The sequence below is a fragment of the Homo sapiens genome, chromosome X, assembly GCF_000001405.40.
Source record: "Homo sapiens chromosome X, GRCh38.p14 Primary Assembly".
Lineage (NCBI taxonomy): Eukaryota > Metazoa > Chordata > Mammalia > Primates > Hominidae > Homo > Homo sapiens.
The window spans coordinates 15431402-15443920 of record NC_000023.11 but is presented as its reverse complement, the minus strand read 5'-3'; the positions used below and the strand labels follow the sequence as shown (position 1 = coordinate 15443920).

The 12519-nt window shown below is 39.9% G+C and overlaps 1 protein-coding gene and 1 long non-coding RNA gene across 3 annotated transcripts in view, besides 1 other annotated feature; both read left to right on the top strand.

The window, feature by feature from the left end:
• The window catches only part of PIR-FIGF (PIR-FIGF readthrough), a 145719-nt gene that overhangs the window by 47389 nt on the left and 85811 nt on the right, over window positions 1-12519 (top strand). The gene's annotated exons all lie outside the window — the stretch shown is intronic.
• PIR (pirin) overlaps window positions 1-12519 on the top strand; it is a 108535-nt gene that overhangs the window by 49413 nt on the left and 46603 nt on the right. The gene's annotated exons all lie outside the window — the stretch shown is intronic.
• Window positions 5387-5456: a silencer, noted in NCBI's record as "silent region_20672". NCBI's record gives its function as "represses an Ori minimal core promoter by ATAC-STARR-seq in GM12878 lymphoblastoid cells {active_cell/tissue: GM12878}" and the evidence as "EXISTENCE:reporter gene assay evidence [ECO:0000049][PMID:35858748]".

Sequence of the window (12519 nt, the reverse complement as noted above, 5' to 3'; positions counted from 1 at the left end):
AATCATCTCCTCATCTAATGAAGTTTTGTCATGAGCTTGTAGCAATTCAGTCACATCTTCAGGCTCCACTTCTAATTCTAGTTCTCTTGCTATTCCCACCATATTTGCAGTGACTTCCTCCGCTGAAGTCTTGAACCCCTTTAAAGTCACCCATTAGTGTTGGAATCAACTTCTACCAAACTCCTATTAATGTTGATATTTTGATCCCCTCCCAGGAATCACAAATGTTCTCAATGGCATCTAGAGCAGTGAATCCTTTCCAGAAGGTTTTCAGCTTACTTTGCCCAGATCCATTAGAGGAATCACCATCTATGGCAGCTATAGCCTTATGAAATTTATAATTATAATTATTATGCTTGTAATTAATAAAATAATTAATTGATGATGATTAATATCAATTAAATTATTGAATATTAATTGTTAATATGAATTATAATAAAGAGTAATTTTGACTTTCAAGTCTGAAATAATAAGACTTGAAAGTTGAAATTACTCCTTGATTCATGGGCTGCTAAGTGGATGTTGTGTTAGCAGGCCCATTAATCTTGCACATCTCCATCAGAGCTCTTGGTTGACCAAATGCATTGTCAATGAGCAGTAATATTTTTAAAGGAATATTTTTTTTTCTGAATAGTAGGGCTCAATAATAGACTTAAATATTCAGCAAACCATGCTGTACACAGAATAGCTTTCATTCAGGTTTTGTTCTTCCATTTCTAGAACACAAGTAGTGTAGATTTAGCATAATTCTTAAGGGCCCTAGGATTTTTACAATGGTAAATGAACACTGGCTTCAACTTAAAGTCACCAGCTGCATTAACCCCTAACGAGAGAGAGTCAGCCTGTTCTTTAAAGCTTTGAAGACAAGCATCGACTTCTCTCTAGCTATGAAAGTCATAGATGGAATCTTTTTTCAATATAAGGCTGTTTCATCTACATTGAAAATCTGTTGTTTAGTGTAGCCACCTTCATCAGTGATCTTAGCTGGATCTTCTGGATAACTTACTGCAGCTTCTCCATCAGCACTTGCTACTTTACCTTCTACTTTTATGTTATGGAGATGTCTTCTTTCCTTAAACCTCAATAACCAACCTCTGCTAGCTTCCAACTTTTCTTCTGCAGTTTCCTCACCTCTCTCAGCCTTCACAGAAGTGAAGAGAGTTAAGGTCTTGCTCTGGATTGGACTTTGGCTTAAGGGAATGTTGTGGGTAGTTTGATCTTCCATCCAGACCACTCAAACTTTCTCCATATCAGCAATTAGGCTGTTTTGCTTTCTTATCATCTGTGTGTTCGCTGGAGTAGCACTTTTAATTTCCTTCAGAAACTTTTCCCTTGCATTCCCAACTTGGCTAACTGGTGCAAGAGGCCTAGCTCTTGGCCTGTCTCGGCTTTTGACATGCCTTCCTCACTAAGCTTAATCATTTCTAGCTTTTTGTTTAAAGTGAGAGACATATGACTCTTTCTTTCTCCTGAACACATCGAGGCCATTGTGGGGTTGTTAATTGGTCTCATTTCAATATTGTGTCTCAGAACAGGGAGACCCAAGGAGAGGGAGAGAGATGGAGAACGGCCAGTTAGGGGAGCAGTCAGAACACACATTTATCAGTTAAGTTCGATGTGTCTTATGTCGGCACAGTTTTGTGGTGCATCAAAACAATTTCAATAGTAACATCAAAGATCACAGATAATAGATATAGTGATAATGAAAACGTGATAATGAAATATGGCAAGAATTACCAAAATGTGACATTGAGATGTGAGGTGAGCACATGCTGTTGGAAAAATGACACCCATAGATTTGCTCAACATAGGGTTACCACAAACCTTCAATTTGTAAAAAAAAAAAAAATACATATATTTACAAAGCACAATAAAGGAAGTGTGATAAAACAAGGTATGCCTGTACGTCTTTCTTTCCTTCCCAAGTTCCGAACGAATTGAGAGGGAGACTGAGGAGTTGGCCAGATAGGGATCCAAATATCATCTTTCTTACCAGTAAAATCTAGATAAAAGCACACGACTTATATCTGAGACCTGTTGGGCTTCTTAATACTTCCCCGGCTTCATTAACCACGTCCAGGCAGAGGTGTACCTACAGTCACAGGCATCTTCTTCAGAGGCAGGCTTACCTCTTGACAGAAGAAGAGAGAAAGAGAAAGAAAAAGAGCTCAGAAGGGCCTGAGCTGAGCATACTCAGTCCCTTGAATTACTCTTACCAGCTGGATCCCACCTCCTGCCTCCCCCTCATCCTCAGGGATTAGTGAGAAAGGCAGAGAGCAGCTGGCAGTATTGCCTCATGGGGATATTAGGGAGGGGTCTGGAGGCTCCTTCGAACATTCCCTGATTTTTTTTCTATTAACATATTAGAGTCGGACGCTTAGCCATGACTGCCTCCTCAAGGAAAGAGATGAGAAATTTATCAGTGTGGACCCCCTCACATAAAAACTAACTTCTGTTCTCTAGGATCAATTTTACCCCCAGAATGATGTGAAATGTATATGGAGAGTTTTTTGTTAAATTCACACCAAGGCATATCTGTCTTCTAGACTGCACATTTCATTTTATCTAAATATTAAAATATCACAAATTTGAACATAAACCTCTCCTATCATCAAACTTCTAAGACAAAAGTAAAGTTCTGATCTAAAACCCCTTGCCCTTATAAATCACATTAAAATAAACTAGAATTAAAATTGCATTCTAAATAAGATGCCAAAGCATCTTTATCCAATTTTAACCCTGCTTTGCTTGGGTAGAATAAGGATTTTCTTTTTTCTTTCTGAGCATCGTAGCCTGAGTTGCCTCCCCTGGACTGGATGTGGCTCCATTAGGTCTGCCAAACTTGAATCCATTCAACCTCAATTCTCATTCATTTCACTTTAAAAATAGTCCCAAAAGGTAATAAAAGACACATTTATCACAATACCGGTTTTGGTTCCATGAAATTTTATTGCACAAGCAAATCTCCAAGCCCTAGAGCAGTCATATCTGTAGAAAATTGATGTACTTGCTCAGTTCAGAGCATTAACATAGTTGGGAGAACAAAACCGTGTATCCATACCGTCTCCACTCTCTTGGGGGGAGACATTTCTCCTTTGTGTAAAGTTCTATGCTTGTGTTGGTGGTAACTCCAGGCACCAGATCTTAAGAAAATCCTGTACTCAACTATGGAAAGCTGATAAGAATATGAAGAAATGTTCCTCTCACCAATATGCAGAAACATAGAAATTTGAATAATATGCTGCCACTTGACACCCTTCAAATTAAGAAAAAATACAAAGTTGGGTACTGTGAAGTGCTGGCAAGGATGGGAAGAAATGGAAACTTCATGTTTGGCAAGTGGGTGTAACTGTGTTCATTGTGGAGAGCAAGTTGACATTATCCAATGAAGCTAACACTGAATATAGGGTATGCCCCAGAAACTTCATTCCTAGTATTTATTCCATCAAAACTTCACCAAGCAGACATATGACAGTGGTCATCCCAGCATCGTGAGTAATAGAAAGGAGTCAGAGTTGATATAGGTGTTCACCACTGAGAGAATGAATAAGTGAAATATGGTGGTTACATATGATGGAATATGGTGTAGCCGCCAGAAGCAGTGGGCTGTATTCACTTGTAGTTATTAGCTCTCAGGAAAAAAATGAGGAATAAATCAGAAAAGAAAGCAGTTTAGCACACAATACTACTCATTTTTCAAGGACACCCATATATCTAAATAAATACACTGTGGGTAGATTGGAAGGATGTCCATTACATATGCTCAACTGAGAGCCAATGGGGAATGGTCTTGAGATGGGGGATGATGGAGGAAAATAACACAAAGCAAGAGGGGTGCCCATGGATGTATGATGACCCTGTGCCATGGAATATAGTGTACAGCCAATTCAATTCCATGAACCCAGGGCCAGAGAGACAGAGAGAGAGAGAGAGAGAAATTTGTGTCTAACACCAGCTTTTAACTTGGTTGGTGTAGGTGACCTCCTGTGTGGCTGATTTAAGGGATTCTAAAAAGCCCAACATATGACAGAAAATCTCACTGTCATGTTATTAAAACTGTACCATTAGAGTCCATCCTTCAACAGTATGAGGGACTGAAAGGAGCATAGGCTGTGGAGTCAAGCACACCTGGGTTCAAATCTCAGCTCTGACCTTGGGAAATTTGTTTTGAGCTTTTATTTCCTCATCTGCCAAGTGGGGATGATAATACACAGTCCTTGAGGTTTTTGTAGGGTATTTAATGTGCCTAGCAACATAGAGGGTACTTAATAAATATTTCTTTCCTTTTCCCTTATCTATCTTTTCTTTTCCCACATTCCCTTTTATCATTAGTCTTTACTGACAGCAAATCTCTAGAAATTCTTGGGATGGGAAATGAAAGTGGCCAACATCTTTTATGGGCTTATGAGGTGCTAAGTTCTAAGTCAGAGTTGTCTAATAAAAATATAATGGAAGCAACATGTAACTTCAAATTTCATAGTAAACATTTAAAAAGTAAAATAAAACAGGTAAGATTAATTTTAATAGCATATTTAATCCAATATATCCAAAATATTATCATTGCAACATGTAACCAATATAAAATTGTAATGAGATAGTTCACACTTTTTGTTACCGAGTCTTTGAAATCCAGTGTGTATTTTACACTTGCAGCACATCTGTGCAGACTGGCCACATTTCACATACCCAATAGCCACATGCAGTGAGTGGCAACTGTATTGGACAGTGAAGTTCTGAGTTCTTTATATGTGTCAATTCTTTTAATTCTGATTTAACTTGGGTTCTCTGGAAAACAAAGCCCAAGGCAAGTATTATTTGCAATCCCAGGGCAGTGGGAGTGAAGGAGAAGGGAAGTGAGACAGATTCTTGGCCATGTAGGATGCCTGTTCAGGAAGCTGTACCTCAGAACTTTCTAAGGGAGCAAGAATTTGTCTGTTGCCCCACATCTTCCATTCCTCTTTGGTCAAAGTTTGCCCATGGGGAGCTAATTCCCTGCCCTTCTGGTTTGTGTCACCCGGTCCCTGCAGACAGCCTCTGAATAGGCCACATGTCCCATTCTATGGCTTGGATCTGTATCCAAGTGTGGGCATGAAGAGAGGATCCAGAGCCTCCGTAGGTCACTTAGGTCAAGCCCAGACTCTGGAGCTTCTGGAACTCCCACCACTGAGAGGACAATCAAGACGATGTCAGAACTTGACAGTCGGCTAGGACAGGCCAAGGCATCTGGCGATGTCAACAGTTGCAACAATGATGGCACCTACAGGTCTCCATAAGAGGCCAAGGGCTGAGGAGCTATAATGAGGCTGAGCGACTCTGAGGAGGCATGTAAAATGTGTGCAATTGAATTCTCACAATGAGATAGGGAACTGAAACATAGTGAGGTTAGCAACTTGCCTAGGGTTACACATATAGTAAGTGACAGAACTGGGATTCTAACTGGATGGTCTGGCTCCAGGGTCTGTGCTCTTAATCACATGCTCACATAGGTCCTTCACCAGTTTGGCACAGCCCAGTAGAAATCAGATTTTTTGTTGAGAGAAGGTTTTGTCTTGGAAACTTTTAAAGACTGAAAAGGCTTAAGAGGAGAGATACATGTTGAAGCGTTCAAAAGGAAAACCTTGGCCCATCTGTCATTTTGCCAAGGATCTGACCACTCCCTATTTGCACAGGAATTCATGAATGATCCCTGACCTGAATTGGGGATATATACTGATCCCTTGCATAGTGCTCCAGCCTTTCAGCAGATCTGGTCAATTCTTCAATTTTTCTGAGCTGGTGCTGAATAGCAGGGAACTACTTCTCCTCTTGTTTGTGGATACACAGGAGGCCATATTCAATACTTTTAGGACCTATTTGAATACTGTATTTAGATGGGTTGATGTGGTAAATTTGGGGATTGGGGAGTTGATCAAGGAAGAGACAGTTTCATGAGAAGCAGTAACATACAAACTTTATTTGGGCAGTGCTCAGACAAGGTTGCGTAAGAGGGAAAGTTCTTCATAGCTGGAGATTTTCCAGAGACAGTGGCACAAGGCCACCCCTCAGAAAGGAAATAGGGCAAGAGACCTGAAGGAGTAGGGGAAATCAGAGAGGAGGCTTACATGTCCAGGTGATATCACTCAACAGCAAGGTGAGGTTTCTCTGGATTAGAGAGTTCTGAAGGACATTAGCAGTTTGAGGTCTTATAGCTGGCTAGCAGATGCTGGTAATAGTTTATCTTATTTCTGGCTAGCAGATGTTGGGAATAGTTTCACAGTCTATATGAAGTAGGTAGGCTCTAAATGGCTAAAATTTTGTTCATTTTGGAATATATTTAAAGCAATTTGGTGTGCGAAAATTGGAGTTTGGCATCAGTGTTCTTTGGGCTAATGGTCCTATCCTAGTGTAAGGAAGTAACCAACATGGGGGCCATTTTCACCTAATATACAGGGGCTCTCTCTGGCCCATTTATATAATAGTTGTACAGAAAACTTTCAATTCATTCATTCATTCAGCTCTTCCATTGCCATAATGGTGTATTAATATATGAACAAAGTTCTTAGGGCAACACGAATCTAGAATTCCTGATAGAATGAGATGCTTTTCAAAGCCAACCACCACTTACTGTTCCATTTTCTTCTGGTACTTTCATTTGAATCAGAATGTCAGGCAGCAATGGACCCCAAAGATAAGCTCTCCAACTCCACCACTTTGTAAATGAGAAGGCTGAAACCCAACTAGGCAAAAAGTCTTTCCCAAGGTCACACAGCTCATTGTGAAAGAAGACCAGACCCAAACTCAGGTTTCCTGAATTTTGTCCCATTTTATTTGAACATTTCCCCTGCCTTATCACACCATTCAGCCCTGATGCATAAGTTTGCTGAGTGTATCTCTCTCCAGTTAGGGAATGCCTTAGCTCATTTTCATGGAAGGAAGCTTCAAAATGACCATGTCTCTTTCTACACCAAAAGGGTACCTTCAGGCACATGCCTGTACAAGCAGACACCCCTGCCTGTCTGTGTCAGAACATCCTGCAAATGATCACGTAGAAGAAGCCCTAGACCATAATAAATTCCCCCTTCATTAATTTTAATCATAAAATTGAAGAAACATATCTATATGAAAGTATCCATACCCAGAGCTCTATGAAATCTTTGCCAATGAGTTTCCCGTGTTACATCTTGATGCACTTTCCTACAAGAACTCTTAAAAATATTTTAGTAAATAGCAAATGTAACTAATAAATATTAGAAGCCTTGTGAGGAATATTCTAGCATTGGTTAATAGATTTGCTGACTCAGTCTTGGAACACATTACCCATGGATTGGAGTTAACAAATAGGAAGGCTCTGTGTTAGCCTATTTGGGGGCCATTTGTGGTTTTATTATACTGTTGCCTTTATAGGGTTGTAGATGGATTATTTATATAAGACATGGGAATTTGTTCTTTTTCTGGTTTTAATTTTCCAAGAAATTAGAACATCTGTAACCCAAATTCAGGCAAGGATGCTGACTCAAAGGGTGAAGAAATCAAAGTCCAGTTTCACAATTAACATGTCTCTGGTTAAATTTCAGTACTGTGAGTCCCCGTCATCATCTTTATTCTCTTCCCCTTTAGTCCTTCTTTCCTCACTACTCTTCCCATAAATAAAAGGTGAGAAAGAGAAGGACAAGAGTATTACTACTGATTAAAGGGCTACTTGAAAAAGAATACTATAGACTGAATTTGGCTATGTTTAAAATTCTTGGTCAGCTAGACAGCTTGATGTTCAAGACTGTCCACAGTCTTTTATGGTTGATAGAAGTTAAAAATGTTTTTTTGGCCCTCTCTAACTCCCACCCTACAAAGAGTCATTGGCATTTTGCCTAAGAGTTCCTTGTCTTCTCTTTGTGTAACACTTCATGTATATGTCAAAATATGATTACAGAGTTTTAATCCTTCCCACGATACCTTTGGCACTGGGGATGGAAACTAATCTTTCCCATTGCTTATCAGAATTGTTTAAAACAATCAAGAATTCAGAATTCAAAGTGCTTTGGATTGGATACAGAAGACATCATTTTGTTGAAGAGCATCAGCCTATTCTAAAAATGAGTTAGAAGTTTGCTTTAAACAGTATGGTAAATCTACTTTTCACTTCCTCAAAGCCTTACCATCTCCAGGAGAAATGAGAAAGTATGGCTCCCCATGCAGGGGCAATGGGATCTGGCAGTGAGTCTCCTGAGTGTGTATGGTAGTGCAGAGACTAGGTCTGTGCTGATGCATTTTTATCCCCAGTGCAAAGCCCAACAGATCACGAGAGTGGGAAGGTGGTAGAAGGAAGATGAGGACATTGGGAAGCCATAAGAACTGTACTAGATGATGACATGAGCTCCTCATGGAGTAGATCTTACTCTATTAGTTGGGACTCCTGAGCTAGTAAATTAAGTGAACACTTGGTTTTCCCCATTGAGGCTCTTCCTTGTAAGTGGTAGAAGGAGAACCTACCTGAACTAGACCCAAATATATATGCAAACTTAACAGGGATAAAGAAGATTATCATCAATTGAGGAAAAGAAGAATAAGTCAACTGGGACAATTGGTTAACCATTTAATAAAAAGAAACCAGATTAGAGCTCATGATCTCACAGTTAATTGTCAAAATAATTCCACATAGATTAAATAATTTTCTTTCTTTCTTTCTCTTTTCTTTCTTTCTTTCTTCTTTTCTTTTCTTTCTTTTCTTTTCTTTCTCTTTTTCTTTTTTTGACAGAGTCTCACTGGAATGCAGTGATGCAATGTCAGTCCACTGCAATCTCCACCTCCCAGGTTCAAATGATTCTCCTGCCTCAGCCTCCCAAGTAGCTGGGATTACAGGCGCCCGCCACTACGCTTGGCTAATTTTTGTGTTTTTAGTAGAGACGGGGTTTCATCATGTTGGCCAGGCTGGTCTCGAACTCCTGACCTCAAGAGATCTGCCTGCTTCAGCCTCCCCAAATGCTGGGATTACAGGCCTGAGCCACTGTACCCGGCCATAGATTAAATAATTTAATGTTAAACATTTTGAACTAGAAAAATATACACAAACATTTATATGATCTTTGGATGGGGAAAGACTTTCCAGGTTTAAAAGCATTGGAAGGAAAAGATGAATAGATTAGACCCATGTCAGAAACCTTGTAAATGAAATTAAAGGCCAAAAACAAACTGGGAGATAATAACCTTACTTTATTGAAAAAAAAAAAAAACAAACCTCTCATGTAAATTGATGAGAAGCACCAAACGTCCTTGACTTCATAGCCGCCAATTTTCCATTCCCTCTCACAGTCACACATCACTGAAGATGTGTCTGCACATTTCATCTCCACTGTCCTACCTCCTTGATGTTCTCAACTTGACATCCACCCACACTGGTCCATTGAAACCAGTCACCACTGACTTCCATGTGGCCAAACCAGAGGTGGTAATCTCCTTCTCCTTCTCCCTCTCCCTCTCCCTCTCCCTGTCTTTCTTCTCCTTCTCCTTCTTCCTCCTCCTCCTTCCTCCTCCTTTTTCGTTCCTACTCCTCCTTTCTCCTCCTTCTTTTTTCTCCTCCTCCTTCTTTCTCCTTCCCCCTCCTTTTTCTCGTTCCTCCTTCTTCTTTCTCCTTCCTTCTCCTTCTATCTCCTTCTTCTTTCTCCTCTTTCTTCTTTCTCCTCCTCCTTCTTCTTTCTCCTTCCTCCTCCTTCTTCTATCTCCTTCTTCTTCTTTCTCCTCCTCCTTCTTCTTTCTCCTTCCTTCTCCTCCTTCTTCTTTCTCCTCCTTCTTCTTTCTCCTTCCTCCTCCTCCTTCTTTCTCCTCCCTCCTCCTCCTTCTTTCTCCTCCCTCCTCCTCCTTTCTCCTTCCTCCTCCTTCTTTCTCCTTCCTCCTCCTCCTTCTTTCTCCTTCCTCCTCCTTCTTTCTCCTTCCTCCTCCTTCTTTCTCCTTCCTCCTCCTCCTGCTTTCTCCTTCCTCCTCCTCCTTCTTTCTCCTTCCTCCTCCTCCTTCTTCCTCCTTCCTCCTCCTCCTTCTTTCCCCTTCCTCCTCCTCCTTCTTTCTCCTTCCTCCTCCTTCTTTCTCCTTCCTCCTCCTCCTTCTTTCTCCTTCCTCCTCCTCCTTCTTTCTCCTTCCTCCTCCTCCTTCTTTCTCCTTCCTCCTCCTCCTTCTTTCTCCTTCCTCCTCCTCCTTCTTTCTCCTTCCTCCTCCTCCTTCTTTCTCCTTCCTCCTCCTCCTTCTTTCTCCTTCCTCCTCCTCCTTCTTTCTCCTTCCTCCTCCTCCTTCTTTCTCCTTCCTCTTCTTCCTCCTTCTTTCTCCTTTCTCCTCCTTCTTTCTCCTTCCTCCTCTCTTTCTCCTTCCTCCTCCTCATTTCTTTCTTTCTCTCTCTTTCTTTCTTTCTCTCTCTTTCTTTCTTTCTTTCTTTCTTTCTTTCTTTCCTCCTCCTCCTCCTTCTTCTTCCTCTTCCTCTTCTGCTTCTCCTTCTCCTTCTCCTTCTTCTTCTTTCTTTGGTTCCTTCTTCATGTCAGCTCTTCCTCTCCATGGCTTGATTGCTTTGTCCTTCTCCACAGCCTCTCTTTCTTTGGTTTCTGAGATAATACATTCTTGTGTCTCTGGTTGCTCTTTGCTCCTTCTCAGTTTCCTTTCTCCAGGTGACACCGTTTTCTTGGCCAGACCCTTAAACACTTTAGTTCCCTGGATCTCAGTCCTGAGTCTTCTCTTTCATTGAGCATCTGCCTAAGTGAGCTTATTTATTTCATGGATTTAGATACCATGTATAGTCTGACAACTCCCAGATTGATATTCACAGTACAAGCCTCCCCTTTGAGCTCTATGTAGATTCATATCTGCCACTGCCAACTTGACATCTCCATTTGCATGGTGCCCAGGCACGTCAAATTTAAAATAGCAAAAGTTGAAGTCTTGTTCTCCCCACCCTCACCTGTCTTGACAGCAAACAACTTGTTTCTCTTCCAGTCTTCTCCATCTTAATAAATGGCATTATCACTCACTGCTCAAAGTAGAAACATGATGGCCATCCTTATACCCACTGCATCTAGTCCCTCAGCAAAAACCTTTCTATCTCCAAATATATTATTTCAAATCTACCTATTTCTCTCCCATCCCTCTCTGGCCTACTCCAGCATCCTCTTCAGGAGTCTCCTCTCCTCTATTCTTACTCCCTTCCAGTTCTTTATATAGTAGCTTAAGACATCTCTTTAAGATGAAAATTGGATCTGGTTCTTCTTCAATGTGTTCTCATTGTATTTTAAAGAAATCCTAAATGCCATACTATGGCCTATATCTGATTGAATCTTTCCTAACTTTCTAAACTTATGTCATTCGCTCCAGCAACCACTTTATGTCTGCCATGTTGCTCTCCTCTCAGTTTCTGAATACTTCAAGCTCTTTATGGCTTCATGGCCTTCACACATGCTATTCTCTTTTTTCTGCCCAGAAATCTCTTACCCTCAACTCTTCTTATTCAAGTCTTCACTTTAATGTAATCTCCCTAGTGAGGACTTCCCTTACTCTCCTCATTTTATTTTCTCTCTCTGCATCCTATTTATTTCTTTTCTAGCAAGTACCACATTTTAAAGTTTTATATTTAATTTGCTAAATTATCTTCTTCACTAGAAAGTAATACTTCACAAGGGTTGAGCAGAACTGTTATTCAGCAATATATATCCAATGACTAGCACATTATAGATTCTTAACCAATATTTTTTGAATGAGGAAATTAATTGATAAATGAATGAAAAGTTAAATAGGTTAATGAGCAGATAGTTTACTGAAAGAGAAATGCAAGTGGCCTTAATTAATACATACGATGCCCCTAAAATAGTGCCTGGTACATACTAAGCCCTCAACATATTTAGTTATTGCTATTTTTATATTAATAATAGTTACTATTATTTTAAAATTAATAATAATAATATCACCCAAACTAATAGTCAAATTTAAAGAGTAAGGAGATACCAATTTCTGCTTTTTAAATGAACTACAATGAAAAAAAATAAGATGATCAACATTTTGATGAGATGGGCACTTTTTAAAGGTAGTTACCAAGTGATTTGACAAAACCAATTTGGATGAAAGCAAGTTAGTTAGTATAACAAGTGATCAGATGATGATTTGTTCAAGAACAGATACTGCTAGATGTGGGTTGTTGAGATAATGGTATTTATACTGTGGAGGTGGTGCCTTTAAACTTTTTTCTTCAGATTAAGCTTGTTTCCTTACTTTTTGTCCATTTTCCAAAGGTTTTCGGGGGGGGGGTGGTTATTTTTTAACTTTTACCTTTTTTCAGCAATTAATTTTTCCATTCTATGTTTGTGACAAGGAAAAAAAATGTGCAACAATAGGAGATCTGTTGGAATATGTTAACTTTCTAACAATAGGAGACTGGATGGGGAAAAAACAATTTAGAGCACATAAAGAGTTGAAAGGCTGCCCTGTGGTGTAGCAAAATTACCAAGACTAGGAAAAGCAGTGACTAGCAGTAGAGATTTTCAGCAAAATTGCTGTTTAACCAGATGATTATGTTGA